This window comes from Homo sapiens, chromosome 18, assembly GCF_000001405.40.
Source record: "Homo sapiens chromosome 18, GRCh38.p14 Primary Assembly".
Taxonomy (NCBI): domain Eukaryota; kingdom Metazoa; phylum Chordata; class Mammalia; order Primates; family Hominidae; genus Homo; species Homo sapiens.
The window spans coordinates 71,533,918-71,557,518 of record NC_000018.10 but is presented as its reverse complement, the minus strand read 5'-3'; the positions used below and the strand labels follow the sequence as shown (position 1 = coordinate 71,557,518).

The window sequence follows — 23,601 nt, the reverse complement described above, 5'->3', positions numbered from 1 at the left end:
TCTCTCTCTCTCTCTCTCCCTCTCCCTCTCTCTCCCTCTCTCTCTCTCTCAGCTCATTTATGATGTGCAAAGCCTAAGCTAAGTGTTGAATACTAGGCACATTTACTGAGCTTAATCCTATAGTGCATACTTACTATGCGGGATGGCAGACAATTAAAACAAGAAATGATGATGACATGAGATATATGGCAAATGAGGAAAAATGTCAAGGTGCTCCAAGGGCAATTATTGAGAGTAAGAAAAGGCTTCACTGAGAAAAATGAGTTTTATACTTATACTTGGGGGATGATTAGGGCAATTAGAAGTTAACTGGGTAACTGGGTAACGGGCGCAGTGGCTCACACCTGTAATCCCAGCACTTTGGGAACCCCGAGGCAGGTGGATCACCTGAGGTCAGGGGTGTGAGAAAAGCCTGGCCAACATGGTGAAACCCCATCTCTTCTAAAAATACAAAAACTAGCCAGGCGTGGTGGCACCTGCCTGTAGTCCAGGCTCCTGGGGAGGCTGAAGCAGGATAATCGCTTGAAACAGGAGGTAGAGGTTGCAGTGAGCAAAGATCGTGATTCAGTCTCAAAAAAAAAAAAAAAAAAAAAAGGTAACTATTAACTAACTTGGTGGAAGGAAAATGGTGAGAGTAATGAAAAGACTTTTCAGAGTTGGAGCCATTTATGTGAAACTATGAGTGAATGATCACTTGGTAGCCCTAGGAGCTAGATTTACTCACCTGCTTTGGAATGCAGATCAGGAAGGAATGGAGGTGGCTGAGTTGGGAGAAATAAGACCAGAATAGTCAACACATAGCCAAGAATGGCTACCCATGAAAATGATAAACTTGTTCTCTTCAGCTGCAATGCCCCACTTCCTCCTCAGCTTGTATTCCAGTGTTTCAGTCTCTTTCCCTATCGATACGGCCTGTCCCTGCTCCCCAGCACCCTCCTCGCCACCCCACCCCACCCCACCTTCGTGCTTCCTTCCTTCTCCCCATTCTTCCCATGGTGACATTTTAGAAGTAGAAACCAGATGGACTGACAGTAATGCCTATCATTTTGTAATTTCTTAGAAAATTTAAGGAAAATAAGTACTTACACATCAGAAACAGAAACTTTTGAGCCAAATTAAAATGAAACAACATCAAGAAATGATGTGCCCTGTTTCATAAAATTTTGTCATTAGGTTCAACACTTACTTTAACGATATGCATTGTATATCTCACATCCTTAATGTTCGCTTTAATATGTTTACATTATAAAAGTACTATAATGTTATATCAGAGAAATTAGGTAATAAAGGCAAAACAATGCTATGTGATCATATTAACCTAACAAAAACACATAATTTTCTTGTATATCCATTTATTCATTTCATATTTTTATTCAAAATTGATTTCTGCATTTAAATAGAAGAGTTTCAATTTATACATTGCATTTTATTTTAAAAGTCACAACTTATATGAATTTCTATTTTTAGGGGAATATGTACACATTTTCACTTCCTTATAGAGCTTTAAAATATAACAGTATTCTCAATACTGGTCAATGTTCAATCGAGTAATTGCTATCAAAAGTTATCAATGTTAGAATTTCTAAATATAATTTCTAAAATTGTGCATACTGGAAGAGATTTATTTATAAACATATATAAGTATATATCTTGAGAAGGTAGGGAATCAAATGATTTGACAAGACACTGATTCTTATTTTGAGGAAAAAATGTACTTTTGGAAAATGTATATGAGTCAGAGAGTAAACGATGCATTTTCTTTGTATGAATTATTCCTCCTAAGGAATACCTTTTACAACTCTATAACGAAAAGATTAATATTTCTCTATTTTCTCTTAAAAAAATAGAAAAACAGCTTGTAGAGAATATAGGAATTTTTTTCTTCCTTTCTTTCATGAATTATACCACTGCTAGTTTTCCATAAAACTTAGAATAATAAATTGCAATTTTGTAAAATCATACATTTGACTCCTTTCTCCTTCAAAGAACAACTTTAAAAACACCATTTGTTGCTCATTAGTAATATTCAGAAGTCACAGATGAAATGTGCACATATTCTCCAAAAAGATTTTGCCTTTTGTGATAAAATTTCTAAAATTGAATAGTTGTGTATTGAAATTCCACAGAGCATCATTTCCTTTGAGACAAAAGGAAACTGTGTTCACTTTAGCTGTCATTTTTTTCAAAGTCAATCCCAGTACTTTTTTATGTTAACATTTTAATAATGCATAACATTCTATACCATATTTTATCAGAAACAAATTTGTTCTATTGCCCCAAAAAATCACTTACATGAGATATTTGTTGTCATGCTTTGTCAATATACAGATGTAAATATATTTATCATTTACATATAAATGAATGTTCGAACACAGACACTTGGCTTTTGACATATACATAAATGTGTCTGTGAATGATTACAGAAGTGATCAGGGCCTCGGCATTTCCCTTGGAGGTAGCAAAGTGTCTCCTAGACTTTCAGCTGTTTTTCTCTGTGTTTCTGTGACTGTCATGAAAGCTGCTTTTTTTTCCCCCATGAGTACCACAGGCAGAAATGCCAGGAAGCTAACATACCCTGGGAGCTGTCCTCAAATGGTAACTCTAGGAAGCTGATGTATAAATACCCTAGGCTTCCTGCTCCTTGAATTAAATCATTCAGAGACATCTGTTTTAGACGAGTCTCAGAATTTCCTCACAACATTAAGTTCCAGATATCCCCAGTGGTGCTTGGCTTCATAACACTCCATTTAATGCATCTTCCCTGTGTCACTTCCCCACCTCATTACCACTCTTCCTGCCCTTCTGTATTAGGCCATTCTTGCATTGCCATAAGGAATACCTCAGACTGGGTAATTTATAAAGAAAAGAGTTGGCTGGGTGCAGTGGCTCACACCTGTAACACCTGTAATCGCAGCACTTTGGGAGGCCGAGACGGGCGGAACAGCAGAAGTCAAGAGTTCAAGATCAGCCTGGCCAACATGACACAACCATGTCTCTACTAAAAAAATACAAAAATAAGCCGAGTGTGGTGGTGTGCGTCTGTAGTCCCAGCTACTCGGGAGGCTGAGGCAAGAGAATCACTTGAACCAGGAGGTAAAGGTTGAAGTGAGCCGAGATCATGCCATTGCGCTCCGGCCTGGGCGACAGAGTGAGATTCTGCCTCAACCCACACGTGCCCTCCATCCCCCCCCAAAAAAAGAAAGAAAAGAGTTTAATTTGTTCCTGGTTCGGTAGGCTGTACAAGTATAGCACAACATCCGCTTGGCTTCTGGGGAAGCCTCAGGGAGCTTGTACTTATTGTGGAGTATGAAGCAGGAGCAGACATCTCACATTGCGGGAGCAGGAGCAAGAGAGAGGGTAGGGGGGTGCCACACACTTAAACAAACAGAACTTGCATGAACTTTCTATTGCAAGGACAACACCAAGCCATCAGGGATCTGTTTTCATGACCAAAACACCCCCCATCAGGCCCCGCTTCCAACACTGGGGATTATATTTCAACATGAGATTTGTGTGGGGACAAATATCCAAACCCTTGTCCCCCACATCTCATATCCTTGTCACATTTCAAAATACAATCGTGCCTTTTCAAACAGTCCCGCAAAGTCTCAACTCATTCCAGCATTAACTCAAATGTCTCATGTGAGCCAAGGCAAGTCCCTTCCACCTATGAGCCTACAAAAAAAGAAAAAAAAAAGCCAAGTTATTAATTTCCAATATACAATGGGAGCGTAGACCTTGGGTAAACATTCCCATTTGAAAAGTGAGAAATTAGCAAAAGAAAGGGGCTATCAGTCTCATGCAAGTTCAAAACCCAATGGGGCATCATTAAACCTCAAAGCTCCAAAATATTCTTATATTACCCCCTGTCCCACATCCAGGACACACTAGTTGAAGAGATTGGCTTCCAAAGCCTTGGGAAGCCTTGCCTCTGTGTCTTTGCCAGCTACACAGGTTGGAGCTGCTCTCACAGGTTGGAGCTGAATGCCTTAGGCTCTTCCTGGTGCAGGGTGCAGGCTGCCAGTGGATCTACCATTCTGGGGTCCGGAGGACAGTGTCCCTGTCCCCAAAACTTCACTAGGGAGTGTCCCAGTGGGGATTCAGTGTCAGGGCTCCAATCCCACATTCCCACATTTGCTCCCCATGCTGCCCTAATGCAAGTTTTCTGTGAGGCCTCCACCCCTGCAGCAGGCTTCTGCTTGGGTACCCAGACTTTCCCATACATCCACTGATATCTAGGTGGGGGCTGTCAAGCTTCCTTTACTCCTATACACTGCTCACCCACAGGCTTCACTCATACACTCTCCTCATCTGCAGGCTAACCACCATGTCAAAGCCATCAAGGCTTATGGCTTGTACCCTCTGAAGTGGCAGCCCAAGCTGTATTTGGGGTCCTCAGAGTTGAGTCTGGAGCTGGAATGGCCTGGAGATGAGGTGCGGCCTCACAGTAAAATAACATTACTGTGAGGTGACACAGGACAGTGGTGCCCTGGGCCCCTGAAACCATTCAGTACCCCTGTGCTTCTGGGTCTGTGATGAGAGAAGATGCCTAGAAGGTTTCTTAAATACCTTGAAGGCCTTTTCCCCATGATCTTGGCTATTAGCACTTGGGTCCCTTTTCATTATGTAAATCTTTCAAGCCAAGTGGTTGCTCCACAGCCTGCTTGGATTCTTCTGATAATGCTTTTTCTTTCTCTGCCATATGGTCAGCTTGCAGATTTTCAAACTTCTATGCTCTGCCTCCCCTTTAAATATAAGTTCAAATTTTAAGTCATTTACTTTGTTCCTGCACCTGAGTTTAGGATGTTAGAAACAGCCAGGGCATATCTTGAATGCTTTGCTGCTTATAAATATTTTCTGCCAAATACGTTAAGTCATTTATTCTGAAGTTCAAACTTCTACATATCTCTGGGGCATGGACACAATGCAGCCAAGCTCTTTGCTAAGGCACAACACATGTGACTTTGCTCCAGTCCCCAATAAGTTCCTCATTTCCATCTGAGAATTCATCAGCCTGGATTTTATTGTTATTACCACTATCAACATTTAGGTCACCACCATTTAACGAGTCTCTAAGAAGTTGCAAACATTCCATCATCTTTCTGTTTCCTTCTGAGTTCCTCAACCTCTACCAACCTCTGCCTATGACCCAGTTCCAAAGCTGCTTCCACATTGTCAGGTATCTTTACAGCAATGCTCCACTCCTTGGTACCAATTTCCTGTATTCTTTCACTTCTATAAAGAAATATCGGAGACTGAGTAATTTTTATTTAGAAAAAAGGCTTAGTTGGCTTACAGTTCTGCAAACTGAATAAGCATGACACCGGCATCTACTCAGCTTCCGGGAGGGACTCATGGAGCTTATACTCATGGTGGAAGGTGAAGCGGGGGCAGGCATGTCACATTGTAGGAACAGGGGAAAGAGAGAGTTAAGAGGGAGATGCCACAAACTTAAACAACCAGATCTCACATGAACTTTTTTACTATTGCAAGGACAGCACCAAGCCATGGGGGACTCAACCTCATGACCAAAACACCTCCAACCAGGCCCCATCTCCAACACTGGGGATTAAAACTCAACATGAAATTTGGGTGGGGACAAATATCTAAACTATATCACTCTCCCAGACAGCCTAATCAAAAGCTCAGTGTCGGCCGGGTGCGGTGGCTCAAGCCTGTAATCCCAGCACTTAGGGAGGCTGAGGCAGGCGGATCACGAGGTCAGGAGATCGAGACCATCCTGGCTAACACGGTGAAACCCCGTCTCTACTAAAAAATACCAAAAAATTAGCCGGGCATGGTGGCAGGTGCCTGTAGTCCCAGCTACTCGGGAGGCTGGGGCAGGAGAATGGCGTGAACCCGGGAGGCGGAGCTTGCCGTGAGCTAAGATCACGCCACTGCACCCCAGATTGGCGACAGAGCAAGACTCCATCTCAAAAAAAAAAAAAAAAAAAAAGCTCAGTGTCAGTTTTTGGAGGACACAAAATTAAGATCTCATGTGTATCTTTTTATCTTGCCTCATGAATAGTAGACACTGCATAAATATGGGCAAATAAGTGTATACATATTTTATATGGCATTTGCAAAAATATATGTTTATCTGAGAGGTCTTTATATAAGCTCCTCAATGTTTCCAATGTAATGGTATCTTAATCGTGTTCTCCTTTCTATACCTACGAGTTAGCATCTTCACGTGCCTGCAATCTATCCTCCTTTGCCCATGTACACATATGCACATGCACACCCACACATGTAATATACACTACTTGTTTTGTGTGTATATATGTGTGTGTGTGTATATACCTATATATATATGTTATATATATACACATACAGTAGTTCCTCCTAATCCACAGTTTGACAGTTTCAAGTACAATCTGCTGTTTCAGACATCAAGGGTTTGGAAGGTATCCTCCACAGATAGGGGGACTATTGTATACGTTCTATTTGTAATACATACAGGTATACATGTGTACCTGTATGTCTATATTTATATGTGTACACTTCTATATCTGTATTTATCTATATCTATATTTCAATATGTATAAGTAATCTATATTCATCATAACAATACAGGTAAGATATTGAAACTATATTTTATATTATTCCAGCCTAATGAAATAATCATGAATTTTTGTTATATGAATTTATGCTTGTTAAGTTATACCCAATTATTCACAAAGCTTTGGAAATAAACGTTGTAAAAACCAAAACTTCACAGCCATGTGGTTGGAAGGATATAGCAGCCAACACTTTGTGAAGTGATCCATAGTCTATAAATGACTCCATTTGTACATTAACCTCAATCATAAAGGAATAATATTTTTCTATGAATAGGGTTGTTGTAGCACAGATATTTTCCAATGGAATTGGAATAGTCTTTGGAGGAAATGGATATTTTAATTTTTTTTGATAAATTAATATGGTGAAAAAGAACTTAACATTTTGGTAAAGTATGTACTTAATTGAATGTCTTAACTGAAATGAATAAATTAATATACATAAATCATTTCATCTTTATTGTCTCAATTTTCAAATATAAGCTTTTTATTACTCAGAAAAAAATAATAATCTGGCACTGAAAGATGTTAATTGTTTATAAACACACACTTGTTTGCTGGTTCTCAGGAATATCTCAGGTTTGTATAGACTTACATGAGGCATTATTTAAATGGTGACTTTATTTGTTGTTACTTTAAATGTTAAAATTAATGCTCAAATAAGGTGCATAGAGTTTAGCATATTAGATAACTTACTGTTTAAGAAGCTTGTAATTTAAGATCTTAGAAAACGAGAAAGAATAAACACAACATTTTTTTTAAAATGACAGAAAATCATTGCATTTTATATGTTTTAATTTTTGTGTCTACTTATTTTTACAATGTACATTTTTTAGATGTGTGGTGTTTGACATTCTTATATTCAGTGTCTGTCACAGAGCATTTTAAATTCTTTTGCCAAAAACAAACACAAATGCATCGCCTTTAAAATGACACAGGTTTATGAGGACATATGACGAATGTGCAGAATAGACCTGTCAAGTGGACCTTTTGTTCCTTTCTTCAGCTCACCAATGTGAAACAGATTAAACCTGAGAAAAAACGCTTGCACCATTTTCCAAACGCAAAATTGGTTGAGTATTTGGAATGTGCAGGGATGCCTCGGGGATCATATATCTCTATCTATAGAATCACATTCTCCTACTTTAATATCATTTATTTCACACAAAATAATCTGTAAAATATTGAAAAACTGCTGGTTTGAAATGTTTCTTTGCCAGCTTTTTTAAGCCTTTGAAGTCCTTATATACGTAGTTTTCAAACTTTGCAAGTTTCATGAATTCAGGGATGCTGGGAAGAACATTTAATCTCTCAAAAAGCAGGAAATGAACATTCACAGAAAAGACTCAGTCACTTATTCTGAATCTTAAGGAAGTTGGCTATTTGGCATTTCCTGGGGATTTAAATGAGTAATTGCAATCTCATAATATTTTAGTATATTATAATCATCACTGTCCTTGTAAAATTCTTTATAATAATGGTCTATGGAAATTTTTTTATGTTCATTCAGAGTGTTGGTGATGATGGGTGAGCTAAACAAAGGCATTCTTTAAAAAAACTGAATAACAATGTTATTATATATATATCTGGGTAATATTTGCTAATATATGGCTTTTCAGTCAATGGGAGGAAATTGCATAATATTAGAGATCAGGAAGAGTGACAAGTGTGGACATTTAAGACCACTGCTACTCTCTGTTAAGGGTCCATTTTGGCAATGACTATGTCATTCTACTGAAAGCCAGCAGATGGTCCATGCCCTCTAGCATGGCTTGCCTTGAGTGCCATTAGCTGTCTGCTATTTTCCTTTCAGAACAAAGCATGTTCAGAGCTCTCTTAAGTCCTTAGCTTGCCCTTATTGTTCCCCTTCACCCTATCCTAAATTCATAAATAATCAATTTCTTAAGCTCTCTTCAATTACAACTTTGAGAAACCACTCACAGATTTTTTTTTTTTTCAAGAACATCACAATACACATTATGTTATGAGGTCTTAACTATGGTCCCTTAGGAAAGTACTCAAGCCTGAAAAATATTGAAAGCCTCTAGGGTAGGAATATTAACAGACTTATTTCCATAGGCAGGCAGGTAGGTAGGTAGGTAGGTAGATAGATAGATAGATAGATAGATAGATAGATAGATAGATAGATAGATAGATACCATACTCCTATGCCGACACAAGTCACTGTCTTAGTTTGGGTGTCTATTAGAAAGTACCTTAAATTGTATGGCTTATAAACAGAAGTTTATTTCATGTTTCTAGATGTGGGTAAGTCCAAGACCAAGGAGCCAGCAGATTCAGAGTCCAGGGAGGGCTGTTCCTGATTTGCAGATGGCGCCTTCTCTTTATGTCTTCACAAGGTATGAGGTCAGAGGAACTCTTCAGAGTCCCCTTTTTAATAATAGCACTAATTCCAGTCATGCGGGCTCCCCTCTCATGATCTAATCACCTCCCAAAGGCACCACCCACCTCCTAATACCTGGCACTACCTAGGGGGTTAGGGTTTCAACCCCCACTATAAATTTGGAGAAGGACACAAAACTTTCAGACCATAGTAGCTCAATTCCATTACCCCATGTGATTTTTGCCTTAATACTTAGCATTCTAAAATTGCCTGCCATATTTAACTGGTTTATTACAAATATCCTTTCTAGCTAGGCCATATGCCTATATAACAACAGTTTTTCCTCTTTAACACTTGTATTCCTAGGTTTTGACACATAGTATGTTCATGATAAAAATGTATGTTTTAATAGTCAAAGTTCTCTGATTCAATTAGATTCATGCAAATTACAATTTTATAGCAATGCCTATCTGCACCACATAACTATTAAAGCCTCTTAAAATATCTCATGTAAAACTATTTACAATACCATACTTTCAAGAATGTAAAAGGGACTTACATTTTCTGGCAGCACATGGGTTGTTGAATGCTTTTGCAGTATCTCAGGATTCCAATGTGTACGGAAGGGTCCAGCAATACCAATACTACAAATGAGAGATGCAAAAAATATTATTTAAAACTCTGCTTTCTTTTATTGTGTTACCCACACATCAACAAGAACTGCAAGCAGAAGCTGACTTAGAAAAAAACCATAAGAAAAAAAAATCTGAAATAGTAAGTAAAAAACACCAGAGGATACAGAACTATTGGAATGCTGCATACATTTTTTCACCTAAATATATTAATATCACAATTTCTAAAAAAAATCACAAATTATTTATTAGTCAGATTGATCTCTTAGCCTCATATTTAATTCCTCAGGTCAGGTTCAACTATTAGCAGAAGAAAACAATCTGCTATTTCCATAAATAAAATATTGATACTAAAGCAGCATCAGGAGTGTTGATGAACATATAATAAAATGTGTGTCCAAGCACAGATCCTGTCATTGTGCTTCACTTTAATGCACTTTACGGATATGATGTTTTTCACAAATTGAAGGCTGCCAGTAGACCTACAGCAAGCAAGTCTATCAGCACCATTTTTCCAACGGCATGTGCTCAGTTTGTGTGTCTGTGTTTCGCCATATTTCAAACATTTTCATTATTGATATACTTGTTATGATGATCAGTGATCAGTGATCTTTGATGTTACTATTGCATTTATTTTGAGCTGCCACAAACCACGCCCATGTAAGATGGCAAAATCTATTAATAGATATGTATGTTCTAACTACTGCATGGAATGGCTGCTCTCCCATCTCTCCCTCTCCTCAGGTATTGCTATTCCCTAAGAAACAACAATGTTGAATTTAGGCCAATTAATAATTTGCAATGGCCTCCTAAGTAGTCAAGTGAAAAGATGAGGAGAACATCTCATTGTAAATCAAAATCTAGAAATGGATGATGAGGGATTAATTAATGGGTACAATATATGATATTTGGGTAATACCCTAAAAACCCTGATTTCACTACTACTCAATCTACGCATCTAACAAAATTATGCTTGAACATCATAAATTTATATACATTTATTATTTTAGTTCAGCTTAGTTTATTTCTGGGATACATGTGCAGGACGTGCAGGTTTGTTACATAGCTAAACGTGTGCCATGGTAGTTTGCTGAAGCTATCAACCCATCACCTAAGTATTAAGTCCAGCATGCATTACCTATTTTTCCTGATACTCTTTTTCTCCCTACTCCACCCCCAACGACAGGCCTCAGTATGTGTTGCTCCTCTCCCTGTGTCCACGTGTTCTCATTGTTCAGCTCCCACTTATGAGTGAGAACATGTGGTGTTTGGTTTTCTGTTCCTGTGTCAGTTTGCTGAGGATGGCTTCCAGTTCCATCCATGTCCCTGCGAAGGACATGATCTCATTCCTTTTTATGGCTGCATAGTATTCCATGGTGTATATGTACCAAATTTTCTTTATCCAGTCTATCATTGATGGGCATTTGGGTTAATTCTATGTCTTTGCTATTTTATACATATTTCTTAAAGCCAGAAATGATTAGGCTTAGTGAGTAAGGAATGTTAGAAGCTGAGATAGGCTGAAAACTAGGCCCCTTGGGCCAAATAGCCAAATTGTGAATGTAAAGGAAAAATTCTTGAATAATATTACTAATACTACTCCAGTGAACACACAAGGATAGGAAAGCAAAACAACCATATTGGTGATACAGAGAAAGTTTTAGTGGTATGAATAGAAGATCAAACTAGCCACAACATTCCATTAAGCCAATGCCTAATTCAAAGCAAGGTCCTAACCCTCTACAATTCTGTGAAAGCTGAGAGAAGTGAGGAAGCTGCAGAAAAGTGTGAAGCTAGCAGCGGTTGCTTCATGAGGTTTAAGGATAGAAGCCATCACCACACATAGAAGTTCAAGGTGAAGCAGCAAGTGCTGATGTGAAAGCTACAGCAAGTTATCCAGAAGATCTAGCTAAAAGCACTGATGAAGGTGTCTACACTAAGCAACAGATTTTCAATGTAGACAAAATAGCCATGTATTGGAAGAAGATGCCATCTATTGAAGATGACTTCCATAGCTAGAGAGGAGAAGTCAAAAGACATCCTGACTCTCTTGTTAGGGGATAATGCAACTGGTGACTTTATGTTGAATCCAACGTTTATTTACCATTCTAAAAATTTAGGGTCCTTAAGAATTATGTTAAATCTACTCATCCTGTGCTCTATAAATAGAAGAACACAGCCTGGATGACAGCACATAAGTTTACAGCATGGTAGACTGAATATTTTAAGCTAACTGTACAGACCTACTGTTCAGAATAAAAAAAGCCCAACAGATTTGTTTCAAAACATTATTGCTCATTTACAATGCACCTGGTCACCCAAGAGTTCTGATGGAAATGGGCATTGAGGATTAATGTTTTCATGCCTGGTAATATAACATCCATTCTGCAACAAATGTATCAGGGGCATACTTTTGACTTCTAAGTCTTTTTATTTTAAAAAATACATTTCATAAGTCTATAGTTACCATAGTTAGTGATTCCTCTGATGGATCTGGGCAAGGTTAATTAGTAGCCTTCTGGAAAGGATTCACCACTGTTGATGCCATCAAGGACATTCATGACTTATGGTAGATGGTCAAAATGTCAACTTTAATAGGCATTTGGAAGAAATTGATTCCAATTCTCATGGATGACTTTGAGGGACTCAAGACTTCAGTGGAGGAAGTAACTGAAGATGTGGTGGAAATAGCAAAAGAACTAGAATTAGGAGTGTGATTAAATTTCTGAAATCTGATAATTAAATTTGGATGAATGATGAGTTATTTCTATGGATGAGGAAAAAAAAAGAAGATTCTAGAAGCGGACTCTACTCCTGGTGAAGAAGCTGTGAACATTGTTCAAATGACAAAAAGGGATTTAAAATATTACATAAACTTGGTTGATAAAGCAGCAGTCAAGTTTGAGAGGATTGACTTCAGTTTTGAAAAAAGTTCTATGGTGGGTAAAATGCTATCAAAGAGCATAGAAATCTTTCCTGAAAGAAAGAATCAATCTGAGGGGCAAACTTCATTGTCTTATTTTAAGAATTTGCCACACCTACCCCAAACTTCATCAATCTGACCCTGATTAGTCAGCAACCATCAATAGAGACCTTCCACCAGCAGAAAGATTATGACTTGCTGGGGGCTCAAATGATCGTTAGCATTTTGTAGCAATAAAGTATTTTTAAATTAAGGTATGAACTTTGGTTTTAAACATAATTCTCTTGCACATTTTATATATAATAATGTACAGTATAGTGCAAATATAACTTTTAGATGCAATGAGAAATTTTAAAAAATTGAGTTTCACTTTTTTGTAATACTTCACTGTGGATTTCTGGAACTAAATACACAATATCTCTGAGGTATGCATGTATGTACTTATGTGTATGTGTGTGTATATCTATATATTATATAGATATTAATTTAACAGTTAATAAAACTAAAAACTGATGTTAAACATTCAAATCCAGAATTGTTGAAAGCAGAGGCATAATTTCTTCATTTAACATTCATCCAACTTTTTCCTGATACACCAGATTTAAAATAAAACCAGATGGGGCATAAGAAAAGATATTTTCTAAAGCATATCTTATTCATAGCTTTTTAATAAAACTTGAGATTTTGGACTTGGATGTCTTGGCCATCAGCTACCTAACAAAATGTTATTGTTGCTCAGCTTTAAGAAACGTTATCATTATTTTTCCATTTGACACGGTAAGACATGAATACAGGTCAGTGCCTATAACAGAAGATGATAAATTATACATTTGAGTTTCATTGCCAATGCTAATAGTGACCATTGCTAAACTAAAATATTTAAATATCATCGATTTCATTTAACAGCAATTACTGTGGCTGTGGCATTGCTAATATGCCCTGAAATCTGAGATGTAAGATAAGAGTTTAATACCAACTAAGTAATAAATATTCTCCACTAAATTCTTACTGAAAACTTAAATAATAAATTATATTATAATTTTCCCAAGTGTAGATATTTTACAGCATTTTTAATAAAATGACAAGTACTAATTAGAATTTCAAGAATGTGAAAAATAAGTTTCTGATTTTTCAGGCCCTGATTAAATACTCATATTGTGTTATAGAATTCTTCTAACTTACATAGACTCGAACAGATAACATACAGTACAATTTTTATTGAGAACACAGACTAATGAATTTCCTCAAAATTCATTGCTGAAAAATTTAACTAGAAATTTCAAATCCACCCGAAAACGATACTATCAAGCTTTTTTATGGGAGATTGTGAAGATTATTAAAATGATTGATTGTCATAATAATTTAGTTTATTTGTTAGTATACATTATAAGTTCAATACAACTATCAATCATTCAAACAGTTTATTTGCATTGTGTAGAGGCAGTTTAATTTTTCTGCTTCTGCTAATCTTAGTGGGAAAATATAAACGTCTATTATGAGAATTCAAAACCCAATTCAGCCAAATAACTAAAACTCATGGTACCCAAATGGGTAATGTCTCATGCGTTTGTTTTTTAGAGACAGCTTTCAATAGGGGCTTGAAAGATTTTTAAATCTATAATTTGGTACATGCTCATAATAATGTCTTTAAGTCATTTCATTTTGTCAATGTTTTAAATAGTCATTATGTAAAGAAAAATGTCAAGTAGTATTGAATCAGAAAGTGTTGAACCTGGCCAACTCAGATGACAATCTAGAGGGGTTGACTTCAAGTTAGTTTATTCTCCTTTTACTCAATGTTTTCAATGCTACGTAAAGCCTCAAATATTTTTATTAGAAACCAAAACTTTTCATTTAAACAATTTGGTCACCACCACCATCCGTTAGAGACACACACACACACACACACACACACATACACACACACACACAACTATACAGGTTGAGTATCCTTTATCCAAAATGCTTTGGAATAGAAATGTTTTGTATTTCAGATTTTTTTTAATGTTGAAGTATTCGCATACAGGTAATAAGATATCTTGGAGATGGGACCAATGTCTAAACATGAAATTTGTTTGTTTCATATATACCTTACAAACATAGACTGAAGGTAATTTTATACAATATTTTAAATAATCTTGTGCATGAAACAAAATATGTGCATATTAAATTATCAGAAAGCAAAGGCAAGCCCCCCATGTGGACAATCTGTGGCCATCTAGCATTTCCACCATTGTTGACACTGAATTCATATATCACTAATAAGCAATTCTCTTCTATTTGTTTACACATAAGCACTTAATGGTAAAAAGTGTGACCTACAGTGAGAAAACTATATGTTAAGGGTAACTCAGCAACACAGCGCAACACCTGGATCAGCTGCTAGACAACAGCAGCAATGAACAATGATAAACTTTCAGTCTCCACCTATGATGTTATGTTTTGATTAAAGGCTTACCGTACAGTGTGTGTGTGTGTGTGTGTGTGTGTCTGTGTGTGTGTGTGTGTGTGTGTAAACATCATCAGCAGTTGAGGGACCAGAAAGTGGGTCCTGTAGGGATGAGGAGGCATTCTGCTGGATGGCTTCTTAGAATATTTCCTTCAGAGTCATCTGCCTGATTGACAATATATTTTTCCTCAGAAATCTCTCTTTGATTTTATTAATGGACATGATTTCTTGTTTGATTATAAATATACACTTCACTAGTCCTTCAATTAGCCCATCACACACTTTCACCATGTAATCCATTGGAACATTTTCTGAAGTGTTAACAACGTCATCTTTACTGTACCTATAATAAGAATCAACCTTCGTTCAGAAAAATTTAGGCTATTTCACTATCAGTCAATAAATGAACAACCAGAACCTCATTATTGATGTTAAAAGCTTCTTCAATATCCACATCTTTCAGATTGCTGACATACTATGAAGGTATAATTTTTGCATAAGTAAGGTGGTAAGACCATTTTTTATTCTCAATGACACCACCTTGTTCATCATCATCATCACTTAACATAATCACAGTCCAGTAGTTGAATCAGGTATGCACACCTGTGTCTTTACTCACTCTGTTCCCAGCATTGGCAACAGCATGTAAGGCATCCTGCATGCTAAACTGCCTTTGAAAACCTTCCACGCCTATGCCTCTGCTCAATGCTACTAACATGCTATTCAAGGAAGTATTTTCATATTTACACTTCATTGATCTAAGGATGCACCGGTCACGTGATTAATTGATAAAGTCACATTTAGGAGAAAGCACATAGCATAAACAGTATTTTTATGAGAATTTCAGCTGGAGGATGAGCAGAAAAGTTATCAAGGAATAACAAAATCTCACAGTCATCATTCAGTCCAATTTTCCTGCAGTAAGCATGAGCTGCTGGTAGAAAATGTTTGTGAAATTAGACCAAATGTTGTCCCCAGTAATCCATGCATTTTTTGAGAACACAACAGTGGCCTAGTAGGAAATTCCCTCCTTGCAAACAGTGAGGACATAAGCTTTTGCCTATCACAGCAAGTTTATACTTCTGCATGCCTGCTGCATTAGCAATTGCCAACACAAATTTCTCTCCTTGGCATCCTTAATTCCTATAGGGGCTGTTTCCTCAGCTGTAGTCAGTGTCTTTCTGAGATAATAATACCCAAACGGTGACATTTTGCCAGCATAATAGATTTGTCCTTGCATCATATTCCATCATCGATGACCTTGGCAAGGTCATCAATGAATTTCTCTGCTGCCCCATAATCTGCAGGTGCTTTATCTCCACAAATATTTGAAAATGTAATGTCAATGTCAATGTCTTTTCTTAAATTTCTGCAACCAGCAGAAATATTCCCAGTTTTCCTCAATTTTCAGTTCATCATGATGGTGATAGATCCTTGCCTGTCTCATGAGCAGCATGCAATTAAGTGGCCAGGGTCACTGTGATGCTGATGGATCAATTCTTTCAATACATGAGCGAGATCTTCATTTCCAGATTTATGCAGTGTTTTTGTATTTTTCATTAACTTCCATTCATCCGTTTCAGCACAGAACTTCAACAGTTTATTTTGTTTCTTCAGGCCATGTATAATGGTATTTCTAACAGCACATTCTTCGGTAAAATATTTCACACTTACACTGCTTCCCAGTTTCTTCAGCATCTTGACTTTCTGTACTATAAAAAAAACATAAATGCTTCCTTTTTTCTTATCACTGTTACCCAAGGGATATCTACAGGCCTTTTTGACATTTTCCAAAATATCTTCGAACTGCAGAACGGAGAAGGTACAAAAAAAAAAAAATGCTGAGTAATGCAGGTAGGTCTTGGTCGCATGTGGGGCATTGCAGGGATCCTGTCCTTGGCCATCCAGCCTGCACACGTGCCATTTTACTACCCTTTGTGGAAGTGTTTGTGTAGGGGAATCTGGATATGCACAGAAAAGACATATTACAGCTGAAAAAGTTTGGGAGGCTCTTTTGTTTTTGTTTTTTGCCCGTGAGGATGCTGAATAAATTGTAGTGCACCTTTCTTTTGATGGAGACTATCACAAGAAGTCAGTTGTAAAATTTTCAACTTACGGCATCATGTCAGTGCTCAAAAGGGTTCAGATTTTGGAACATTTAGAATTTCAGATTTTTGGATGAAGGATGCCCAATCTGTATAACATCTTTTACTATTAGATTGTTACATCACTCACTTTCTCTTGTCTTTGAATTTGTATTTCCAGTTAGTATCTTCTACAAATACATAATACATATTTTGATAAATAATTATAAAACATAAACAAAATTTTTTGAAACATCTCAAAAACACAGATGGATTTTTTCTCATTTTCTTCATTACTAAGTAAATGAGACAGCTCTTAGCATCAATTCTATTTCTAATATTTTATATTGTTTTGAGAGTTTAGAAAACTTATTTAAAAAATAATCATATAAAAATTGAAGGACTATTCTAAAGCAATATAACTTTATTATAAAAATTATTTCTAGTATATGCCAAAAATTGTCTAGTGATATCTTATTGCTAATGGATCTGTTAGTTGGTTCTTCAATGTTATTGAAAGCAAAGTATTTTAAATCATCTTATTTGCAATATAATTTCTTAGTTTTTATTAATGTATCTTTTTTCACTTTCTGAGAAGTATATGCAAAAGGTTTTATAAAGAACTATAAAATTATCATTAACTTTACCTTTATTCTTTTACTTAGAAGCACTCATTTAACTTAATGTACACAGAACTTACTGAGAAAATAGAAATATTGCTAATTTATCTTTATTGGTTGGTAAAAAGTTTATATCTTATCATGAGCTTTAGATACATCACAGCTTTAAATACATTAGAACTTCATTAGAACTTTGAAGGTCTATCTCATTCTGTCTATGATTTAGTGGAGGCATTAAAGAGATTAGTATTTTTGGTTATCATTTTGGATGATTCCCCAGAGCTTTTACACCCTTGGTCAATGCACCATGATATGAGTCAGAATGGATGACACATCTGTCTAATTTAAAGGGAAAGAAACCCATCACTCCACGGTAGGGGCTAACACTCTTCAGAAGATTGCAGGTGTGAGAGGGCAGTAGCAGAATGGACAAAGGTGGGGATGCACACACAAGCAAGTTAAATGCATCTCTGGATATAAAGGCAGGGCCGCAGCGATGTCCTGCTATCAACACCGGTAACCCTCAGTATATGAATCCCTTGGTTAATATTTCATCCTCATTTTATGTATCTGCCATATTTGACTCAGTTGAATATTCCAGTGTGAAACACAGTTTTTAAAAATAATTTCCAGGGCATATTCTTTGCTTTGTATAATGATTTTCAAATTTATATCCCCAACTCTGACTTTCCTCTAAATTCTAGATGTCTGCAGGATATGTATGATGCTTTTCAAATTTATATCACTAACTCTGACATTCCTCTAAATTCTAGATGTCTACAGGATTTCTGTCCTTGTATTTTTAATACATGTTTCAAATTTAACATACTGAAAATACAAATTTGATTAATTATTTCCACTCTTCTGCTATTAATCTTACTTATTGCATATACGGCAAATTTGTTCTTCCATGTACTCTGGGAAAATGTTTTGGAATTACTCCAATACTCTCTTTTTATTTCACCCAGTAATAGATCCAGCAAAAAAATCCTGGTGTCTCAATTGCCACATGGTATTGAGAACACCAGAACTGCTCAAAACTTATACCATGATAACCTTGGTTCACATCACTAATATGCATTAGTTGGCCTGTTGCAATAGCTTCTTAATGGGTCTTTATGCTTCTAACTTTGCCTTTCTTCCATATTCAACAGAAGAATTCTATATTCTATATTCAACAGAAGAATCAGAGATTTTTCTAAATATAAGATCCTGTCATTTTTCTACTAAAAATATTCCAAAGGATTCTCATGCCTCTCTGAGTTAAAGATATTTACAATGGCTTAAACCGTTCTTGATGTTCTTTCCCCACCTTTGTAACCATTTGATTTTATCTCCCATCTGCCTCCTCCACTCTAGCTATACCAGCCTGCTTGATATGCCTAGAATATGGTAAATATTTTCTTTCCTACTTCACTTTGCACTAGCTTTTATTCTGTCTGGAATGTTTTTCCATCCAGACAGATACGTAGCTTTCTACCGTGTTTCATTTATGTTCCTGTTCAAAAGTCACATGCCTAAATAGACTTCCTCAGGGTATTTTCTATAAAATAACAAAGGCCTACACACATCAGCATTGTCTTTACTTACTGCCTTCATCATGCTCCAGCTTATCTATTACTTGTGTAGCATGTCTTTACATTTATATTGTTTGCTGCCTGTTTTCCTCCACTAGAATGTAAATATCATGAAGGAAGTAAGCTATTGTTCTCTGCCGTATTACCAGGACCTAGAATAATATCTAGCATTTAGCAATTGCCAAGTATTTTATAAAAATAAGTTGAATGAATACTATGATGTTTTAATTCTCCTCATAGCTCCCTAGCCATTAATTCCCTCCCCTCAACCTCTTATTTTTGGCTTACTTTCTTATTTATGTATGTCTCAATTGTTGATTTTCTGCTGAGTTCTAATTTCTCCTTTTTAATTCATTCTCTGTACTCTCTTGGTTAGATCACTTAATTTTCTACGGCTTCGTCTACGTCACGTACATGTCAGCTCCAATTTGTTTCCTAAAGGTTTAAGACTTATTTATGCAGCTGGTTACTGAATACTTCCATTAGAAAAGCTTAAACATATCTCCAACTAAAAACACCAAAAACGAGATCTTTATATACTCCCACATTTAGTTTATCCACCTGATACCTCTGTGTTAGTAAATGGCAAACACCATCTAAACAGTTATCCCATTAAGAACCTTGGTCTGACCGTTATCCTATTCATCTCTCTCTTCTACATTCATTAAAAACACATGCAGGGGCCAGGTGCTGTGGCTCAAACCTGTAATCCCAGCACTCTGGGAGGCCGAGGCAGGTGGATCACCTGAGGTCAGGAGTTCAAGACCAGCCTGGCCAACATGATGAAACCCTGTCTCTACTAAAAATAGAAAAAATTAGCCAGGCATGGTGGTGAGCGTCTGTAATCCCAGCTACTCTGGAGGCTGAGGTAAGAGAATCACTTGAACCCAGGAGGTGGAGGTTGCAGTGAGCCGAGGTCACTCCACTGCACTCCAGCCAGGGAGACAAGAGTGAAACTGTCTCAAAAAATAAATAAATAAATAAATAAATACATTCAGAAGGTCCTGGCCAGAGCAATCAAGCAAGAGAAAGATACAAAAAGGCATCCAAATAGGAAAAGAAATCAAGCAATCTCTCTTCATTGATGATATGATTCTATACCTAGAAAACACTAAAGACTATCAAAAGGCTCCTGGAACTGATAAACAACTTCAGTAAAGTTTGAGGATATAAAATCAATATGCAAAAATTAAGTAGCATTTCTATAGACCAATAACATTTAAGCTGAGAGCCAAATCAAGAATGTAATTCTATTTACAGTAACAACAAAAAAATACTTAGCAATGTATTTAACCAAGATTGTGAAAGAGCTCTACGAGAAATACAAGCAAGAAAACACTGCTGAAAGAAATCATAGATGATATAAAGACATGGAAAAACATTCTATGCTCATGGATTGGAGGAATCAATATTGTTAAAATGGCCATACTGTCCAAAGCAATCTACAGACTCAACACTATTCCTATCAAACTACCAACATCATTTTTCACAGACTTAAAATAAATTATTCTAAAATTAGGTAGGACCAAAAAAAGATCCTGAATAGCCAAATCAGTACTAAGCAAAAGGGCAAAGCTAGAGACATTACATTACCTGACTTCAAACTATAGTATAAGGCTACAGTAACAAAACAACATGGTACTGGTACAAAAACAGACACATAGACAGGTGGAATAGAATAGAGAATTCACAAATAAAGTCACACAGGAACAGCCACTTTATCTTCGGCAAAGCTGACAAAATTAAATAATGGGGAATGAACTCTCTATTCAATAAATGATGCTGGAATATCTAGCTAACCATATGCAGAAGAATGAAACTAAACCCTTAACTTTTACCATATACAAAAATTAACTCAAGATGGATTAATGATTCAAATGTAAGACCTCAAAATGTCAGAATTATCGAAGAATACATAGCAAACACCATTCTAGACATCAATCATGGAAAATAATGTATTATTAAGTCCTCAAAAGCACTTACAACAAAAACAAAAATTGAAAAATGAAACCTAATTAAACTTAAGTGCTTCTGCACAGCAAAAGAAACTGTCAACAAACAGACAACCAAGAGAATGGGAGAAAATATTTGCAAACTATGCATTCCAACAAAGGTCTAATATCTATAAAGAACTTAAAGAATTCAGCAAGCCAAAAACAAATAATCCCAATAAAAATGGGCAAAATACACGAGGAGACACTTCTCAAAAGAAGATATACTCGTGCTGTGAATTAACACAGAACAGATGAACCAAATACTGCACGTCCTCACTTGTAAGTGGAAGCCGAACATTGAGAACCCATGGACCTAATGATGGAAACAATAAACACTGGGGACTACCAGAGGGGTAGAAAGGGAAGGGGTCAAGGGTTGAAAAACTAATTATTGGGTACTATGCTCACAACATGGGTGACAGGGCCACTGATATTCCAAACCTCAGCATCATGCAATACATTAATGGAACAAACCTGCACATATACTCCTCAAATCTCATATAAATTGGAATTATTTTTAGAAGTATGAATGTCACCAGTTCAAAAATACATTCATTGATTAGTTATGAACTCAGCACCCTTCTAGGGTCATGGGATGGATACGGAGCAAAGACAGATCAGCCCCTGTTTTCAATAGTTTTCACTGCAGAGAGTTAGACCGTTCACATTAATAAAATAATCACATTAATTATAAAATCACCACCATTCTTTTAAGTTTCTCATATTCATTCTCCTCTCTCCATCCCCATTAAAACTACCTAATATCATATTTTTTCCTAATCCTGGTCTTAGCCTAGCAGATTCCTTTGTCCCTTAGCCCTGACAATTTTTTAATCTGTCCCTCACATGCCACTATGGTACCTGCCTGAAATATACAATAATCAAAAGCTAGCAATGGTTAAACTCTTCAGTGGTTTCCTGTTATTCTGAAAAAATATCCCAAGTTTTGTGACATGAGATACTAAGGCCTTCACAACTACCTTTCCACTAGCTCTGGTCCTGACTGGCTGTTAATTTACCATGCCGATTATACTTCTAAGTCCTTAACATGTCAAGGCCTTGAGGATTGACCTTGTCCCTTCTACCTGAAATTCTTAATCCTTCCTTATGGCTAATTTAGTGTTAGAAACTCTCTCCATGTTTGCATAGCACACTATACCTAACCATGTATTCTAATAATTTTTCCACTTCTCATCTCATGCTGTAATTTGTATGAGTGCAGAGATGTGTCACTTGTATTAATATTCTATCACCAGTTTATAGCTCAGTGCTTACTCTGGAGTGCTCCATGACTTCATTTCAGACATGAAATAGTGAATGCATTAATCAATGTAATCATTCATGTTAATTTTACAGTAGAGAAGTTATTAGCTATTTCTAGTTTTCATATCCATTTGAAATTTTTCTTCTCAAAATTATTTGTCATTTTGGATAACTTTTCAAGTACATAATAATACCATTTTACAACAGAGAGGAAAACTACTCCAAACAATTCCCTTTGTGCATACCCTGAAGTATTTGGAGCTCTAAACCATTTGAGCCATTTTAGCTCCAGCTCTCTAAGAATAGAATTTACACTGCTAACACTAAATATTTTATCCCTGGAAGAAACAGAAAATGGAAAGTACAAAATGTATGTTTCCCCTGACTGTAAACAAAAAATAATTTTCAGGAAACCTTTTGACATCTTTATTCAGTATTTTTCCCTAGATATTTGTCAAGGTTCAACAGTTTACAGTCTCTTTGTACTTGTCAGACTGAGTTATCTAACAATAAATCCACGTGTTTATGGCTTTAAGTAAAGGACTAATTTAATGCACAAAATACTCTTTTTAAAAATTTTTCTAGTTTACTGCATAAAATATCACTAGATGTCAAAAGAATTAAAACATCCAGATTTCACAAAATACATCTTATTTAGGAGTAGGAGTTGCTATTATTCACAGTAATTTTAACAGCAATTCCATTTAACATATTCAAAGACTTACTTATAAATTCTAAAAGTAAGCAGAGAAACTGTTTATTTTTATTTTTTCCAGATTGTGAAGCCTGTAGCTTGGAAGATACAGGACATAGGTGAAAGTGTTTGTACCATTCATTTAAAGGCATAAATGTCCAATGGGTAAGTTAATTCTTAAACTGGTTTTAGGCACATGGTTAAAAAAATTTAAGTCACAAAAGTAAAACAAAAGTTATAGTGTTTATTTTACACATCATCAATGAACTGTTATATGTATTTATTTTTATGGATATATTTGCTGGAATATAGTTTGACAGTTATTTTCTTTCATCCTTTTAAAACATCAATTATTGTCTTCTGGCTTCTACTGCTCCTCTAAAAATTCAGGTGTCACTGTTATTGTTTTTATTGTTTAAAAAGACATAAATATGCTTTTTAATATTAGATTGCTTTTTAAG

General features: G+C 36.2%; 2 long non-coding RNA genes across 3 annotated transcripts in view; one reads left to right on the top strand and one right to left on the bottom strand.

Annotated features, from left to right (window-relative positions):
- LOC107985179 (uncharacterized) overlaps positions 1 to 23,601 on the bottom strand; it is a 191,915-nt gene that overhangs the window by 66,481 nt on the left and 101,833 nt on the right. The window contains exon 2 of the long non-coding RNA XR_001753502.1: positions 9,464 to 9,548. This is a non-coding gene — a long non-coding RNA (uncharacterized LOC107985179). The remainder of the gene's footprint in view (positions 1 to 9,463; positions 9,549 to 23,601) is intronic.
- LINC01541 (long intergenic non-protein coding RNA 1541) overlaps positions 1 to 23,601 on the top strand; it is a 58,993-nt gene that overhangs the window by 21,438 nt on the left and 13,954 nt on the right. For both annotated transcript variants that reach the window (NR_038326.1, NR_038325.1), the window contains exons 2-3: positions 8,823 to 8,920; positions 23,223 to 23,305. This is a non-coding gene — a long non-coding RNA (long intergenic non-protein coding RNA 1541). The remainder of the gene's footprint in view (positions 1 to 8,822; positions 8,921 to 23,222; positions 23,306 to 23,601) is intronic.